The sequence below is a fragment of the Homo sapiens genome, chromosome 11 (assembly GCF_000001405.40).
Source record: "Homo sapiens chromosome 11, GRCh38.p14 Primary Assembly".
In the NCBI taxonomy this organism is placed as follows: Eukaryota; Metazoa; Chordata; class Mammalia; order Primates; family Hominidae; genus Homo; species Homo sapiens.
In genome coordinates this window covers 31324560-31344312 of record NC_000011.10, presented here as the reverse complement: position 1 = coordinate 31344312, position 19753 = coordinate 31324560, and the positions used below count along the sequence as shown (strand labels likewise).

General features: G+C 39.5%; 1 protein-coding gene across 22 annotated transcripts in view; it reads left to right on the top strand.

The window, feature by feature from the left end:
• DCDC1 (doublecortin domain containing 1) overlaps window positions 1-19753 on the top strand; it is a 506137-nt gene that overhangs the window by 25427 nt on the left and 460957 nt on the right. For 20 of the 22 annotated variants that reach the window (NR_170625.1, XR_002957144.2, XR_002957145.2 and 17 more), the window contains exons 2-3: window positions 8749-8866; window positions 16027-16196. Coding sequence is in view for 19 of the 22 variants with exons in the window: in XM_024448478.2 (XP_024304246.1) it covers window positions 16033-16196 (164 nt within the window). In the remaining 3 variants the exon portion in view is untranslated. Of the gene's footprint in view, window positions 1-1260; window positions 1368-8748; window positions 8867-15073; window positions 15306-16026; window positions 16197-19753 lie in introns of those variants that run through there. The other 2 variants (XM_024448473.2, XM_024448471.2) reach the window with 2 other exon arrangements.

Sequence of the window (19753 nt, the reverse complement as noted above, 5' to 3'; positions counted from 1 at the left end):
CTGTGTGTCAGTGAATAAACTATGCATGTGTTAATAAAACATAAGTCAATGCCTTTATCCGTATTCTTTAGAGTACCATAGTATTTAGTGTCAGTCAAATTAAAATTAACACATTTTTATTTCTTTAATTTCTAATGAACGATTAGTTCTCATTTAATTGTCAATGTGCAGGGGTGTTATCTGAAACCCTGTTACAGTCTTGTATTTTGCATATTCTACTTAGCCTGTGAATATGTTCTACTTCTAGTGAGGATGACACTGTTTATAGATACATTACAGAAGAAATATTTCATTTAATAATGGTAATGATTTCACACTTATATAACTAATCCTACTGAAAGCATCTTGAAAGTATTTTTCATTTATTTATTTATTTATTTATTTATTTATTTTGAGATGGAGTCTCACTCTGTTGCCCAGGCTGGAGTGCAGTGCCATGATCTCGGCTCACTGCAATTTCCGCCTCCTGGGTTCAAGCGATTCTCCTCCCTCAGCCTCCCAAGTAGCTGGGATTACCGGCATCTGCCACCACCCCCAGCTAATTTTTTGTATTTTTAGTAGAGACAGGGTTTCAATATGTTGGCCAGACTGGTCATGAATTCCTGACCTCAAGTGGTCTACCCATCTCGGCCTCCCAAAATGCTGGGATTATAGGTGTGAGCCATTGTGCCCCGCCCTTATTTTATTTTTTTAAGAGACAGGGTCAGGCTGGGTGTGGTCGCTCATGGCTGTAATCCCAGCACTTTGGGAAGCCAAGATGGGCAGATCACCTGAAGTCAGGAGTTTGAGACCAGCCTGACCAACATGGAGAAACCCCATCTCTACTAAAAATACAAAAATTAGCCAGGCATGGTGGCGCACACCTGTAATCTCAGCTACTTGCGAGGCTGAGGCAGGAGAATCACTTGAACCTGGGAGGTGGGGGTTGCAGTGAGTCAAGATTGTGCCATTGTACTCCAGCCTGGGCAACAAGAGTGAAACTCCATCTCAAAAAAAAGACAGGGTCTTACTCTGACACCCACGTTGGAGTGCAGTGGCACAGTCATACTTAGTGCAACCTTGAAACTCCTGGGCTCAAGTGATCCTCTCGCCTCAGTCTACCAAGTAGTCCTAGCTAGGCTCAAGTGATCCTCTCGCCTCAGTCTACCAAGTAGCTAGGACTACAGGCATGCACCACTCGGCCTGGCTAATATTTTAAAATTTTTTATTTGTAGAGATGGGGTCTTGCCATTTTGTCCAACCTGGCCTTGAACTACTGGGCTCAAGAGATCCTCCCACCTTGGCCTCTGAAAATACTGGGATTATAAGCATGAGTCACTGCATCCAGCTTTGACTCCTGAACTACTTTATGGGAAAAAAACAAAAAGGTATACCTACCACTAAAATAATTACCTCTTTCACTGAAAGTTAGGATTATAATTGTGCATAAGTAAAAAATAAAACTATTTCTGTTTTCTTCAGGTTATTTTTGAATAGTTATATTCAAATTTCGTTTTTTTAATAATTGGATTATATCATAAACACACCAGGACAGTCAGTGGATTTTTTTCTGCAAGTGGTTTTACTCTTTAATCATATACTTTTGCCTTGCTATGCACAGCTGGATTTTTGCTTATAAGCATTTCCCAATTCAGACTCAACCTATGAAAGATTTCAAAAGACAATGGTTGTTAAAGATGCTTTAGAAGAGAGCCTCACCCCTCCTATCATGAAATATTTAAGGGAGGAGGAGAGAGAGGGCCAACAGAGGAGTGCTGGGTGGACAAAAGCACCCTCTCTTATTAAACTATGTATAAACAGATCTTTTTCTTATTTGATGCAGATTAGGACATTTATTGAATGTTTACCATGTGCCAAGCCCTGTGCCAAATGCTTCCAAGTTCACCATTTCATTTAATGCTCATAACCATGTAGTTACCCTGTTTTGCACAAAAGAAGACTGAGGCTGAAAAAATTCATGATACTTAAGGCCACATAGTTAGAAAGTGCAAGAGAAACACGTGATCATTCTCTTATGTCAATAGGTATGAATTCCTCCATAATGTTTGTGCGTGTAAGTTAGTTATATTGCTTTTATTTTTCCATATGCTTAGTTAGCAGCAAGTGTAGTCTCATAATCTTTGAGCTTCCCATCTCCTGTAGATTATCTGTGAACCTTAGGTGTTAACTGTCGTTCAAAAGGAAAGTTCTCCAGCTGTCCCCTCCCTAATGAGAATGACCCTTAATGTCAGTTAGTTTGTCTGTTGGTGCTGCTGGTACTATTGGTGGTGCTGCCATTGCCATAGCTTCTTGCTGACCCACATCACCATTACTGATCTCATTGGCATCCATCACCTGACAGGCGCTATTGGTCCTTGCTTCAGGAAAGTTTTTCTGGCACCAGTTCCACCTCAGCCTTGCAAGGCAACATGGTCTTTGAAAGAGGGTATATTAGTCAGGGTTCTACAGAGAAACAGACCAAAAAAAATGTGTGTGTGTGTGTGTGTGTGTGTGTGTGTGTATAGTCATGCATTGCATAAGAGTGTTTTGCTTAAGGATGGACTACATTTACAACGGTACTCCCATGAGATTATAATGGAGCTGAAAAATGCCTATCACCTAGTGACATAGCTGTTGTAATGTTGTAGTGCAGTGTATTACTTTTTCTATGTTTAGATACACAAATACTTACTATAGTGTTAAAATTGCCTACGGTGTTCTACACAGTTACATGCTGTACAGGTTTGTAGCCTAGGACCAATCAGCTATACTATAGAGGCTAGGTGTATAGTATGCCATCTAGGTTTGTGTAAGTATACTGTATGATATTTGCCCAGTGAAATCACCTAATGGTGGGTTTCTCAGAACGTATCCCCGTTGTTAAGCAACACATGTCTATCTATCTATCTATCTATCTATCTATCTATCTATCTATCTATCTATCTATCTATAAAACTGGAATTTCCATTCTTAACCAAACCAAACATAACTCAGAGATTCTACTCGCAGGGTGAATTGGTCTCAATGTTATTCTGTCATCACTTTCTTCTGGGACCAATACAATGCTTCACTGCAGTGGGCACTGTTGTTGAATTCCCTACCTGTGAAAGAAGTTTCTGGAGAACTTTGTCTTGAAATGCACATACTTAGCCAAGTTCTTTCTTCTGAACCATCCTTTTTGCTGCCCCCTTCTGGAAGCCAGAGTCACCTGCAGAAAAACTCCTCCCTACTAGCTCTCCAAGATGTGGAAAGGCAAAGTCCACCAAACTCCAGCAGGTTCACGGGAGGCTTTCATGTTGGACATCTCTTACTCATCAGTCAACCAGTGGTGTCCTTAACTGCTTGCCAGATACCTCAAGTTCCATGGATCCAAAACCAAATTCATTCTCTCACCCTCCACCAATTTCTCTTCCGCCTTGTTTTCTCCTTCCCTTCTCTATCTACTCATTCTGTAATCAATACATATATATATGAAGAGAGAGAGAGAGGAAGATTAATTGATTTTTAAGAATTGGCTCCCGTGAGTGCAGAGGCTATGTGAGTCCAATATCTGATGGGTAGGCTGGCAGGCTAGAGACTTAGAGAAGGGGTGCAATTCAAGTCCAAAGACAACCTGCTGGAAGAATTCCTTCTTACCCAGGGGAAGTCAGTCTTTTTTCTATAAAAGCTTTAAACTGATTGGATGAGACCCACATCACATTATGGAGGGTAAACTGCTTTACTCAGAGTCTACACATTTAAATGTTAATCTCATCCAAAAAAACACCTTCACAGAAAACACCCAGAACAATGGTTGATCAAATAGCTGGTCACCATGGCCCTGCCAAGTTGACCCATAAAATTAACCATCACAGTGGCTAACACAATTCCTTCAGTATTGTGCTCAATTACAGTACCCATCACTGGTTCCCCCAGATCACAGCTACAGTTACCTAGCCTTTTAAATCCACCTCTCCTTCTCCTTTCCTCCCTCCCTCCTGCTCCTCTCCTCCTCTCTCTCAGAACCACATACACTCCACACAGTCATTTTCTTCCAAGGTCTCACTGCCCCAGAATAGTGTGGGGTAGATTTGTCTGCTGCAGACCAATTCTTGCTAATTTTTTTTTATATCCTGGGAAATCCAGCAATTTAACTTAAAGGCCTTTTAGGCACAGATTTTAAAAATGCAAAAAGGCCCCGTGTATCATCCCTGGGTAAAGGAAACCAGACCTCTGAATTAGGAAATCCCACTTACCACTGGGAGTGGAGCTAGTGAGGAGGAAATGCTTTTTGTTCTTCCTTGAAGAGTAAAACATTATTTTCATCAAGATAAAAACAGAGACTTTTTGATGCCTTCTTTAAAAAGCATCAAAGAGTAAATCTTTGGTGAGTCCCATGGGTACATATGCAACCACAGAGACATAGGATAGTACCTTTTCATTTAAAAAGGAGGCTATTTAAATATAGATAGGTGCAGTCTAGACACTTGATTTGCCTGAGACAGGCCCAGTTTGGATGATAAATTATTTGGCTAGTTTAGATAGAAAGAATTAACATTGAAAATTTGTCAAAACTATCTACTTTAGTCCTGTAAGGAATCCTTTCTTCTGTGATTACAATGTTGCTGCTGTGAACAAATGTGTTCTTGGCATCTGAAGTACAATTTCCCATATTTCTTTTATAAATATTTATTGCATACCTACTATGTCCTAGACACTGAATTAAGCACTATGAATGCAAAGTGAACAGGACAGACTAGTCTCAGCTCTCATAAAATTTTTTTTAACTATAATATTATTGGAGAGTTAATTCAGGTATTACTAGCATATATTGAATGAGGCAAGGAAACTGATCAATGTATACATTTGTTTCCATAGTATCTTATTCTGGGCTGCCATAACAAAATACCTTAGGCTGAATCGTATACAAACAATAGAAATTTATTCCTCACAGTTCTGGAAGCTAGGATGTCTAAGATCAAGGCACCAGCAGTGTCTGGTGAGTGCCTGCTTCCTTATTGATAATGTGCCCTTGCGTTGTAAAAAGAGTCCACCCTTATGACTTAATTGCCTCCCTAAAGGCTCTGCCTCATAATAACATCACATTGGGGATTAAGTTTCAACTTAGAAATTTGGCAGGGGGTGGAGGGTGGCCACAAACATTCCAACCATAGCACATAGGAAAATTCATTCTTAATTTCAGGCAACCAACTGACTTAAACATGAACTTTGGGAAATGGAAAAAAGAAGTCTATTTCATTATACCAAGTTGGCTTCTAGTTTCTAAATCATCAACAGTGTAGGAGCAGTGTGAGCAAAGGTCTAGAGACTGGAAATAAATAGCATGTACAAGATGTTAAGAAAAGTTTACATTGAGGATGGGTAAGAAAAAGAGGTTTATTTCTTACTCATATAAAAGTTTATTTCTTACTTACAATGTAAAGTTTACATTGAGGACGGGTAAGAAAAAAAGGCTTATTTCTTACTCATATAAAAGTCTGGAGGGCTAGTATAATGCTCTAAGATCTTCTATTTTGTTGCTGTGCTGTGAGAAGCTTCCATTCCCAAAGTCACAGATGGTGCATTCATGGCTATTCCAGCTTTAAGCCATGATCACATTCCAGATATCAGGAAGGAAGAAAAGAAGGCTGAAAATTATGCCCCATACCCCCTTCTTTGGTGACAGTTCCCAGAAATCACATATGCCACTTCTGCTTACATTCTGCTGACCAGAATTTAGTCATGTGGTCAAGTGGCAACATGTAGATGGAAAAAAGGCTTCAGCTAGACACTGTAAAAGGGAAGAGATTCTAGTGAACATCTAACAGTTTACTCCACAATCCAACCTTTTAGCCACCAAAATATCTTTGGTACGCCCTTCTTCCTGTAGATAGAACATAACCACCTATTCTTGATCATACATGCCTGTTCTAGCTTTTAATTATGTATGTGAACCCCCAAATATGATCCATTTGAATATGGCTCAGAATCTAGGCTGTTGGGTTAATGCACTGTCCTTTTCATTAAGTCCAGGTGGTCTAGTAACCTATAAACTAAAAGTTAATGCATTTGCCACATCACACCTAACAGAATGGATGTATATTTGGAAAGGAGGAGAATAGGATTAACACAAGAGTCACTGGTTTATAGTGGTTATCAATTCTGCTAGGCTAGGTAGGAATTGTAAAAGTTCCTTTCTCTAGCAATGGAGCAATTTCCTTGATTAGTTCATCAGAGTACTCCTAATTCTGCCTTTTGGAAAGGGTCTTCCTTGTACATTGTACTTCCTGACCACATCTGATGTGGTCAATGGAGAATTTGCTGTTCTGGAGTGCTGAACAGATCTGCAGCCTGCTTCCTGCTGATACAAATGTGGGCATGAGATTTGAATACAGGTCAGTCATGTTTTTCGGCCAGCTTTGTGGTTTCTTCAGTAATTTAACACTGCTCCTTCCTCTTCCCCTAAATTAGTAGACTTCCAGTCTATAGCTAATCCCATGTTCACAGCCAAAGATCACGTCTAGACATTATTTTTAAGCCTGAGTACTGGTTTTTTATTCCCTGACTCTGTGCTTCAACATAAAGATGATTCCTTTGAGGTCACCTAACACAATAAGCTTGGGTTGAAAAACAGCAACCTTAATCTGATCTTTGACAGCTAGGCTAGTTTGATTGATTGATTGATTGATTGATTGAGACAGGGTCTCACTCACCCAGGCAGGAGTGCAGGGGCATGATCATGGCTCACTGCAGCCTCAATCTCCTGGGCTCAAGCAATCTTCCTGCCTCAGCCTCCCAAGTAGCTAGGACTAGAGGTGTGTGCAATCATACCCAGTTAAGTTACTTTTTGTAGAGTCAGGGTCTCACTGTGTTTTCCAGACTGGTCTCAAACTCCCGGACTCAAGCAGTCCTTCCTCTTCAGCCTCCCACAGTGTCGGGATTACAGGCGTGAGCCATCACACCCAACCAGGGAAGAATTCTTAAAGAAAAGTGTTGTTAAAAAGCTTAGAACCACAGTCTCATCTTATGTAGCAATCACTGTAGAGTGCTACTTTTTATAGTTTCAGTTTGGGATACACAAACAGTTGAATTCTTCAACCCTGCAAGGCCCAAAGTCCCAAATTACTAGACTCTGAGTTAAATTTATATTTTAAGCCATTCTAGTGTTATCCTTATTTCTTTGCTCTAAGTAAATACCATGTATTTTAGGTTTTTGAAAGCAATTTACTTCAAGAGAATGTCAGGTATTTCAGGATTAGGTTTAACTGCAAGTAACAAAGATCCAAATTAATACTGTTTTGAACAAACTAGGTGTTTCTTACTCATGTAAAAGTCTGGAGGTAGATAGTCCAGGGTTGGTATGGTACTCCATGTTGTCAGAGGTTCAGACTCCTTCAATCTTCCCTCAGTCCTGGCTTTCATTTTCAGCATCTCATCAAAGTTAAAGATGACCAATCCAGGACTAGCCATTGTTTTCATTCTAGGTAGCAGAAGGAAGGAAAAAGAAGGGTACACTCACTTGCATGGACCATCTCCACTAACATGCCATTGGCCATAACATGTTCATATGGTCCTGCCCAGCTACAAGGAAAACTGGAAAATACAGTCTTTATTTTAGGCAGCCATATGTCTCAGTTAAAAATCAGGGATTCTAGTTTTGTAGAAGGAACAAGGAATGGATATTGGCAGACAATTGGCAGTCTCTGCCACAAAGTTTATGCAATTATTAGAAAATACTAACATATGGACACATTAGGACATTGCAATACAATTATTTCAATGCATTTGGTGAATTCTTAACAAAGAATTCAAAATTGTCTTTTTAAAAAAATCATATTGCTAAACACTCCATGAGCTTACTAGTTCTCGCAAAGTCCTAACAATGTCCTGCAAGGTCCTGTGTTGTGTCCACCTCCTCCATACCCTTTCTAACCTCATCCCAACTACATTCTTCCTTGTTCATCTATTCATCTACTTTTGCTGTTCTTCACACTTGCCAGATATATCCCACCTTAGGACCTTTTGGATGCCTGCCCTAAGGCACCCTCCTGGGTCTCCCTGGGTATCTGCATGACAAACTTTCTTGCCTCTTTCATATCTTTGCCCAGATGCTACCAGCTCTATGTGGCCTACACTAACAACCCTATTTAAACTTGCAATTCCCTCCACTCCCACATACTCCCAATTTACCTTTTCCTCATCAGTTTTCCCCTTAGCATTTATTACCTATTAACATCTGTACAATTTGCTTATTTATGATGTTTATTGTTTATTATCTGTTCCCACTTGAAAGTAAGCTGCATAGGGCACAATGGTTTTTTTCTGCTTTGTTAACTGATTATAAGTGCCTAGAACAATGTCAACGAATAATGCGTGAATGAATGAAAGCATTTATTTCAGAACAACACTAAAAAAGTAAAAGGATTTTTTTTTACCTTAAAAGTAATATATTTTCCTTAGGCCTGCCATATAATCTTAATTTGGGACTCCTCTTCATTGTCTTAGTGGGCCACTTCAGAGATGAGATTTTGTAGCTATTTTAATCAGTATTGTGAGACCAGGATTACACCCTGGAAAGGATCCTGTAGATCAGGGGTCCCCAGCCTCCAGGTACTGGTCCCCAACCCTTGGGTCTGTAGAAAAATTGTTTTCCATGAAACTGGTCTCTGGTGTCAAAAAGGTTGGGGACTGCTGCTATAAATAACATTCTTTGACATGATTTCTTATGGGCACATTGTTTTGGTCTTTTGGTAAAATTAGATTGTCTGTGTGTGTTACTCTATTTTCCAGATTGCAAATAAGAAAATTCCAGATTCCATTCCAAGATGGCCAAATAGGAACAGCTCCAGCCTGCAGCTCCCAGCGTGATTAATGTAGAAGATGGGTGATTTCTGCATTTCCAACTAAGGTACCTGGTTCATCTCATTGGGACTGGTTGGACAGTGGGTGCAGCCCACGGAGGGGAAGCTGAAGCAGGGCGGGGCATTGCCTCACCCCGGAAGTGCAAGGGGTCGGGGGATTTCCCCTTCCTAGCCAAGGGAAGCCATGACAGACGGTACCTGGAAAAATAGGGTGCTCCAGCCCAAATACTGCGCTTTTCCAATGGTCTTAGCAAATGACACACCAGGAGATTATATCCCGCACCTGCTTCAGTGGGTCCCATGCCCACGGAGCCTTGCTCACTACTAGTGAAGCAGTCTGAGATCGACCTGCAAGGCAGCAGCCTGGCAGGAGGAGGGGTATCCACCATTGCTGAGGCTTGAGTAGGTAAACAAAGCAGCTGGGGAAGCTTGAACGGGGCAGAGCCCTCCGCAGCTCTGCAAGCCCTGCTGTGTCTAGACCCCACCTCTGGAGGCAGGGCATAGCTGAACAAAAGGCAGCAAAAACTTCTGCAGACTTAAACGTCCCCGTCTGACAGCTCTGAAGAGAACAGTGGTTCTCTCAGCACTGTGTTTGAGCTCAGAGAATGGACAGACTGCCTCCTCAGTGGGTCCCTGACCCCCTTGTACCCTAACTGGGAGACACTTCCCAGCAGGGGCCAACTGACACCTCATATAGGCGGGTACCCCTCTGGGACGAAGTTTCCAGAGGAAGGATCAGGCAGCAGTATTTGCTGTTCTGCAATATTTGCTGTTCTGCATCCTCTGCTGGTGATACCCAGGCAAACATGGTCTGGAGTGGACTTCCAGCAAACTCCAACAGACCTGCAGCTGAGGGACTTGACTGTTAGAAGGAAAACTAACAAACAGAAAGGAATAGCATCAACATCAACAAAAAGGACATCCACACCAAAACCCCATCTGTAGGTCACCAACATCAAAGACCAAAGGTAGATAAAACCACAAAGATGGAGGGAAACTAGAGCAGAAAAGCTGACAATTCTAAAAACCAGAGCACCTCTTCTCCTCCAAAGCATCGCAGCTCCTCGCCAGCAATGGAACAAAGCTGGATGGAGAATGACTTTGACAAGCTGACAGAAGTAGGCTTCAGAAGGTCGGTAATAACAAACTTCTCTGAGCTAAAGGAGGATGTTCGAACCCATTGCAAGGAAGCTAAAAACCTTGAAAAAAGATTAGACGAATGGCTAACTAGAATAAACAGTATAGACAAGACCTTAAATGACCTGATGGAGCTGAAAACCATGGCACAAGAACTATGTGACGCATGCATGAGCTTCAGTAGCTGATTTGATCAAGTAGAAGAAAGAGTATCAGTGGTTGAAGATCAAATTAATGAAATAAAGTGAGAAGAGAAGTTTAGAGAAAAAAGAGTAAAAAGAAATGAACAAAGCCTCCAAGAATTATGGGACTATGTGAAAAGACCAAATCTACGTTTGATTGGTGTGCCTGAAAGTGACAGGGAGAATGGAACCAAGTTTGAAAACACTCTTCAGGATATTATCCAGGAGAACTTCCCCAACCTAGCAAAGTAGGCCAACATTCAAGTTAAGGAAATACAGAGAACACCACAAAGATACTCTTCGAGAAGAGCAACCCCAAGACACATAATTGTCAGATTCACTAAGGTTGAAAGGAGGAAAAAATGTTAAGGGCAGCCAGAGAGAAAGGTCGGGTTACCCACAAAGGGAAGCCCATCAGACTAACAGCAGATCTCTTGGCAGAAACTCTACAAACCAGAAGAGTGTGGGGTCCAATATTCATCATTCTTAAAGAAAAGAATTTTTAACCCAGAATTTCATATCCAGCCAAACTAAGCTTCATAAATGAAGGAGGAATAAAATCCTTTACAGACAAGCAAATGCTGAGAGATTTTGTCACCACCAGGCCTGCCTTACAAGAGCTCCTGAAGGAAGCACTAAACATGTAAAGAAACAACCAGTACCAGCCACTGCAAAAACATGCCAAATTGTAAAGACCACTGATGCTAGGAAGAAACTGCAGCAACTAATGGGCAAAGTAACCAGCTAACATCATAATGACAGGATCAAATTCACACATAACAATATTAACCTTAAATGTAAATGGGCTAAATGCCCCAATTACAAGACACAGACTGGGAAATTGGATAGAGTCAAGACCCATCAGTGCTGTATTCAGGAGACCCATCTCATGTGGAGAGACACACATAGGCTCAAAATAAAGGGATGAAGGGAGATCTACCAAGCAAATGGAGAGCAAAAAAAGAGCAGGGGTTGCAAACCTAGTCTCTGATAAAACAGACTTTAAACCAACAAAGATCAAAAGAGACAAAAAAGGCCATTATACAATGGTAAAGGGATCAATTCAACAAGAAGACCTAACTAGCATAGATATATATGCACCCAATACAGGAGCACCCAGATTCACAAAGCAAGTCCTTAGAGACGTACAAAGAGACTTTGACTCTCACACAATAATAATGGGAGACTTTAACACCCCACTGTCAGTATTAGACAGATCAATGAGACAGAAGGTTAAAAAGGATATCCAGGACTTGAACTCAGCTCTGCACCAAGGAGACCTAATAGACATCTACAGAACTCTCCACCCCAGATCAGCAGAATATACATTCTTCTCAGCACCACACTGGAGTTATTCCAAAATTGACCACATAGTTGGAAGTTAAAAGCACTCCTCAGCAAATGTGAAAGAACAGAAATCACAACGAACTGTCTCTCAGACCACAGTGCAATCAAATTAAAACTCAAGATTAAGAAACTCACTCAAAACCACACAACTCCATGGAAACCGAACAACCTGCTCTTGAATGACTACTGGGTAAATAATGAAATGAAGGCAGAAATAAAGATCTTCTTTGAAACCAATGAGAACAAAGACACAATGTACCAAAATTTCTGGGACACATTTAAAGCAGTGGGTAGAGGGAAATTTATAGCACTAAATGCCCACAAGAGAAAGAAGGAAAGATCTAAAATTGACACCCTAACATCACAATTAAAAGAACTAGAGAAGCAAGAGCAAACAAATTCAAAAGCTAGCAGAAGGCAAGAAATAACTAAGATCAGAGCAGAACTTAAGGAGATAGACACACAAAATCCCTTCAAAAAACCAATGAATCCAGGAGCTGGTTTTTTGAAAACATCAACAAAATTGATAGACCGCTAGCAAGACTGATAAAGAAGAAAAGGGAGAAGAATCAAATAGACGCAATAAAAAATGATAAAGGGGATATCACCACTAATCCCACAGAAATACAAACTATCATCAGAGAATACTATAAACATCTCTTTGCAAATAAACTAGAAAATCTAGAAGAAATGCATAAATTCCTGGATACATACACCCTCCCAAGACTAAACCAGGAAGAAATTGAATCTCTGAATAGACCAATAACAGGCTCTCAAATTGAGGCAATAATTAATAGCCCACCAACCAAAAAAAGTTCAGGACCAGATGGATTCACAGTCAAATTCTACCAGAGGTACAAGGAGGAGCTGGTACCATTTCTTCTGAAACTATTCCAATCAATAGAAAAAGAGGGAATCATCCCTAACTCATTTTATGAGGCCAGCATCATCCTGATACCAAAACCTGACAGAGACACAACAAAAAAAAGAGAATTTTAGACCAGTATCCCTGATGAACATTGATGCGAAAATCCTCAATAAAATACTGGCAAACCGAATCCAGCAGCACATCAAAAAGCTTATCCACCACGATCAAGTAGGCTTCATCCCTGGGATGCAAGGGTGGTTCAACATATGCAAATCAATAAACATAATCCATCACATAAACAGAACCAAAGACAAAAACCACGATTATCTCAATAGATGCAGAAAAGGCCTTCGACAAAATTCAACAGTCCTTTGTGCTAAAAACTCAATAAACTAGGTATTGATGGAATGTATCTCAAAATAATAAGAGCTATTTATGACAAACCCCCAGCCAATATCATACTGAATGGGCAAAAACTGGAAGCATTCCCTTTGAAAACTGGCACAAGACAGGGATGCCCTCTCTCATCACTCCTACTCAACAAAGTGTTGGAAAGTCTGGCCAGGGCAATCAGGCAAGAGAAAGAAATAAAGGATATTCAATTAGGAAAAGAGGAAGTCAAATTGTCCCTGTTTGCAGATGACATGATTGTACATTTAGAAAACTCCACCATCTCAGCCCAAAATCTCCTTAAGCTGATAAGCAACTTCAGCAAAGTCTCAGGATACAAAATCAATGTGCAAAAATCACAAGCATTTTTATACACCAATAACAAAGAGCCAAATCATGAATGAACTCCCCTTCACAATTGCTACAAAGAGAATAAAATACCTAGGAATCCAGCTTACAAGGGATGTGAAGGACCTCTTAAAGGTGAACTACAAACCACCGTTCAAAGAAATAAAAGAGGACAGAAACAAATTGAACATTCCATGCTCATGGATAGGAAGAATCAATATCGTGAAAATGACCATACTGCCCAAGGTAATTTTAGATTCAGTGGCATCCCCATCAAGCTACCAATGACTTCACAGAATTGGAAAAACTACTTTAAATTTCATATGGAACCAAAAAAGAGCCCACATTGCCAAGACAATCCTAAGCAAAAAGAACAAAGCTGGAGACATTACGCTACCTGACTTCAAACTATACTACAAGGCTACAGTAACCAAAACAGCATGGTACTGGTAACAAAACAGAGATATAGACCAATGGAACAGAACAGAGGCCTCAGAAGTAACACTGTACATCTACAGCCCTCTGATCTTTGACAAACCTGACAAAAACAAGAAATGGGGAAAGAATTCGCTATTTAATAAATGGTGCTGGGAAAACTGGCTAGCCATATGTAGAAAGCTGAAACTGGATCCCTTCCTTACACCTTATACAAAAATTAATTCAAGATGGATTAAAAACTTAAATGTTAGACCTAAAACCATAAAAACCCTAGAAGAAAACTTAGGCAATACCATTCAGGACATAGGCATGGGCAAGGACTTCATGACTAAAACACCAAAAGCAATGGCAACAAAAGTCAAAACTGACAAGCGGGATCTAATTAAACTAAAGAGCTTCTGCATAGCAAAAGAAACTACCATCAGAGTGAAGAGGCAACCTACAGAATGGGAGAAAATTTTTGCCATCTACCTATCTGACAAAGGGCTTATATCCAGAATCTACAAAGAACTTAAGCAAATTTACAAGAAAAAAACCAACCCCATCAAAAAGTGGGCGTAGGATATGAACAGACATTTCTCAAAAGAAGACATTTATGCAGCCAACAGACACATGAAAAAATGCTCATCATCACTGGTCATCAGAGAAATGCAAATCAAAACCACAATGAGATACCATCTCACACCAGTTAGAATGGCGATCATTAAAAAGTCAGGAAACAACAGGTGCTGGAGAGGATGTGGAGAAATAGGAATGCTTTTACACTGCTGGTGGGAGTGTAAACTAGTTCAACCATTGTGGAGGACAGTGTGGCGACTCCTCAAGGATCTAGAACTAGAAATACCATTTGACCCAGCCATCCCATTACTGGGTATATACCCAAAGGATTATAAATCATGCTGCTATAAAGACACATGTACACGTATGTTTATTGTGGCACTATTCACAATAGCAAAGACTTGGGACCAACCCAAATGTCCATCTATGATAGACTGGATTAAGAAAGTGTGGCACATGTACACCATGGAATACTATGCAGCCATAAAAAAGGATGAGTTCATGTCCTTTGTAGGGACATGGATGAAGCTGGAAAGCATCATTCTGAGCAAACTATCACAAGGACAGAAAACCAGACACAGCATTTTCTCACTCATAGGTGGGAATTGAACAATGAGAACACTTGGACACAGGGCAGAGAACATCACACCCCAGAGCCTGTTGTGGGGTGGGGGGCAGGGCTGGAGGGATAGCATTCGGAGAAATACCCAATGTAAATGACAAGTTAATGGGTACAGCAAACCAACATGGCACATGTGTACATATGTAACAATCCTGCACGTTATGCACATGTATGTACCCTGGAACTTAAAGTATAGTAATAAAAAAAAATGGAAAATCCCGACTCCAACTAGCTTAAGCAAAGAAAGAAAATTGTTGGCTTATGTACGTAGGAAACTAAAGAGGTGGTTTTTTTAAATAGCTGGTCTCAGGGATTCAAATGTCATCATCAGGAATCTCACTTTCTGTCTCTCTCCATCTCTTAGGTCTGCTTTCATCTCTTTTGGCTTCATCTCAATGGGGAAGGTTTGCATTTTTCTTAAAGCTAGCAATCCAGGAGAATAGAGCCCTGCTTGCTTTCTTCATCAGGACTCTGATTTACCAATCTCTGTATGTGGGAGAATAGGGCATTTTGATTGGCTAGCCTAGTAGACATTCACTTCCATGCCTTGAAGGCAAGGCCACATAATTGACAGACCCATCAGAATCAGGAGGAAGGTAAGTTCCAAAAAAGAGGGATGAAGGACAGACAAAAAAAAAAAAAAAAAAAAAAAAAAAAAGCCTTGTGGTGTGCTTTTTCAGTAACGTATTTCACATACAATTTTGCTTATATAAGCAGTTTTCCAGCAAATAGCAAAAATTAAAATGTTTTCCAACAAACCAGCATTTTTTTAATCCTTTTTTTTTTTTTTTTTGAGATGTAGTCTCACTCTGTCGCCCAGCCTGGAGTGCAGTGGCGCGATCTCACCGCACTGCAAGCTCCACCTCCCGGGTTCCTGCCATTCTCCTGCCTCAGCCTCCCAAGTAGCTGGGACTACAGGCACCTGCCACCACCACACCCGGCTAATTTATTTATTTATTTTGTATTTTTAGTAGAGACGGGGTTTCACTGTGTTAGCCAGGATGGTCTCTATCTCCTGACCTTGTGATCCGCCCGCCTTGGCCTCCCAAAGTGCTGGGATTACAGGTGTGAGCCACTGAACCCGGCCCATTTTTTTCATTCTTAAACAGTATTATACCAATTGTAGACTTAGATTCATATTTTTTTTCTTTCTTTAAGCTCTCATCTGTTAATTACTAAGGGAATTTCACATTTAATCATTGCTATATGGTCTAGAATCACATGATGACAAGTAAGTTGTGTTTAATGCCCAGCCTCTATTTGTAATCTAGTAGGATTTTACATTTAAAATTAAATAACATTCTTTATCATTTTTAGCTGAAAATGGCAAAAACAGGAGCAGAAGATCACAGAGAAGCACTATCTCAGTCTTCCTTATCCCTCTTGACTGAAGCAATGGAAGTATTACAGCAAAGTAGCCCTGAAGGCACTTTGGATGGGAATACTGTAAACCCAATTTACAAATATATTTTGAATGATTTACCAAGGTAAGAACATTATTTCAGCAGCTTAAACTAAATACTGAAGGGGATAAAAGTGTTTATAGAAAGTAGTTTAAATTTTCAATCAGTCTTGGCCGGGCCAGGTGGCTCATGCCTGTAATCCCAGCACTTTGGGAGGCCGAGGCAGGTGGATCACTTGAGGTTAGAAGTTCGAGACCAGCCTGGCCAACATGGTGAAACCCTGTCTCTACTAAAAATACGAAAAAATTAGCCGGACATGGTCATGGGAACCTGTAATCTCAGCTACTCGGAAGGCTAAGGCAGGAGAATCGCTTGATCCTAGGAGGTGGAGGTTGCAGTGAGCTGAGATCATGCCACTTGACTCTAGCCTGGGCGACAGAGTGAGACTCTGTCTAAAAAAAAATGTTTGAGTACAGGTGATATAAATAAGTAACTTTGAGATGTGTTGAGTTATGGAGGTTGTTGCTTAGAGTAGAGCCCTTCCTTTTTTCTACTTTGTGGGAAGAAAAAATGTAGATGATGCAATAAATGTAAATTATCTCTGGGATCTGACTTGAACAGGTATCATAATGATAATAACGATAATGGCAGGTAGTACTTGTTAGGTGCCAGTCACCATGCTTAGCACTTAACCTGCATTATATCAATTTTGTTCTCAAAACAATACTAGAGGCTGGGTGCAGTTACTCACGCCTGTAATCCCAGCACTTTGGAAGACTGAGGCGGGCAGATCACCTGAGGTCGGGAGTTTGAGACCAGCCTGACCAACATGGTGAAACCCCATCTCTACTGAAAATACAAAAAATTAGCAGGGCTTGGTGGTGTATGCCTGTAATCCCAGCTACTCGGGAGGCTGAGGCAGGAGAATCGCTTGAACCCGGGAGCTGGAGGTTGCGGTGAGCCAAGATCGCGCCATTGCACTCCAGCCTGGGTAACAAGAGCGAAACTCTGTCTAAAAAACAAAACAAAACAAAACACTAGGAGGAATATAAGACAGATGATAGTCTCAATACCTTTGTTTTACCTATGAGGAAACAAAGGCAGAGAGAGGTTTATTAACTTGACTAAGCTTACACAACTAGTAAGTAGTAATAAAGAAGGTATGGTATGAACTCAAATGGGTCTAACACTACAGCATTTATCAGAACTGTAAAGCAGAGGAGACGGTATTCTTCCTGTGCTTTTTCTCTGTTAGAAAGTGAAAGAACTAAAAGATATTTGTCATACATTGATAAACTATTGGCTGTCTGAGTGTGATGCCCTAGTCTTTATGTTAAATAGAAAACTGAGACTATAAGAAAATCAATATATTATTCATAAATTAAAGATTATGTTAATCTTCTTATGGAAATGTTAGATCATATTTATTTCCTAGATCAGTTTGAATGTTTGCTTATTTTTGTTTGTGTGTCACTAGGTTAAGATGAAAGTGAAACCTTGACTTTCAGCTAATTCGTTTTGCTTTATTCCTCTCAGCTATAAGTGCATATTAGCAGTATATGAGATCCTTTATACAGTGCAGCTTTTAAAAAAATGAATACCCTGTGTGTTATATTGTAGGGACATAAGTCACTCATGACTTATTATAAAAAAATTTCTAAATAGGATTAAATGTTCCTTTATACAAATGCCAATTCTAATATAATGTGTACTTACACATATTTTTATTGCCTTTAATATTTATTTCCAATTTTCTACTTCAAAATGGTGATACATTCACTTTTTATTCTAACTATTTTTGTGCATTTTTAGCTACTTTATTTTTTTTATGGTAAAGCTAAACGTATTTTCACTTATTCGCTCTGTTCCTGCTTTTTTCCTATTTGCTTTCTTTGATTGTTAGTCGGTTTAACACTGGCTTTATTTGTCCTTTTCATTATATGTCAGTCTTTCTTCTCATGTGACACTTTCCTACCGCTGTTTTTTCTAGTTTTTGTTTCAATGTGCTTCTTTTGTTTCTTTGTTTGAATCCTAACTTCTTTTCTGTCACTATTGCCTGTTACCATCAACTTTGATTATGATAAACCAAGAAAATGAAGTAACCCTCTTCTTGGCAATCAAATGGAAAGCTGTAGACAATGCTCTGAGGTCTTTTACCTTCATGAAAAAGAAAATGATGAGTTTCAATCTGAAAGGGGTCAAGTTCATAAAGGCTAATGGTAATTTAAGAGCCATTGGTATTAATATGATTATCAGAGAGAGGCAATTTTCTCTATGAGTAAAGACATTTCCCCCCTGATTGAGGTTAAAACTTCTTTTGTCTCATTCTTGTTTTCCTTGCCACCTTTCTTCTACCATCTTGTGGTCTTTTTATGAGAAGTAATTATTAAAATATAGTCAATTTGTTTTTCCTACTTGTATCACAGAGATTCTGCATTTCTTCATTAATTAATACACTGTACTTTTTACAAAATATGCCTACATATATATGTATATATATTAAGTCCATTCAAAGTAGCCATACAGTGACCACTTTATTTTCTTGTTACTATCTGATGCTATCAGTTTACTTTTCATTATATTTACATTATCCACTGTCCTTCCCTCTGTTCTTTCTTTCCATGTGTTTCCTCTGCTGTCACTCCATGCTGCATTTGCTTATAACACAGTGAAAACCTCTGTACCAGGACATGCCCCCTCACAAGAAAACTAACACCAACATTATAAATGTTTTCAGCTTATTATACCAAAGGTTTCATCCTCTTATTTTATGACTCACCATTTGGAGGTCATGTGACTAAAAAAATGTAGCCTCATTTCTGTGGCTACTTCCAGGAAAGTAGCACAATAGTAAACTTTTCTTGCTCAGCTGTAGTCTGATGCATTCCCAAGTGACCCAGAATTGGGCAATAGCCTTGGAGACATGGATGACAGAATCAGTTATTTATTAGTAACAGGTATCCAGGCATAGTTTCACCATATTCATATCCAGCACTCCAAATGCTGGAGTGGAAGATCTCCAAATTACAATTGCATTTTTACATGAGGAGAATGTTGTAAACAATTAGTATATTTTTCCATCTCAATGTAAAATATGTTGTTTTAATGATTTTCAACCAATTATCATCTAAGGAATGTGATTTAATGATTTTTATAATGGGAAGTTATAGTATTTTTTATCCTGCTGGCAGCTCAGTACATTACCAACTCTTACAATTCCCTGAGGAGGAAAATTACTTTTAGTAAAATAAATGAGAACTGAAATCAGTTTTTAAAAAGTAAATACTAACCATTTTTTTGTTGTACATTATCTAGGTTACTTTTTCACAAGCAAATCTTGCTTTCAAGGATACTAACAGACACCTAATCTATTCAATCACTATTTAATGTAATTTCTCTTGGGTACTTTTTACTTGGAATGAATCTTAGATCCTTTTTGAAATATAAACATTTTTGAAATATAAACATTGCCTTTTCTATGGACAGTTTAAGTTTAGCAACTTCAGCATTCCAAAAATGAACTGTCGATTCCCACCGTGGAATGAGTGACAGAAGGGAGTGAGAAGAAAACAGCAATAGTGAATGAAGCATGGTCACACCTTCACTGTTTTAGACTCCTGCTACCCAAGAAATTATATTTT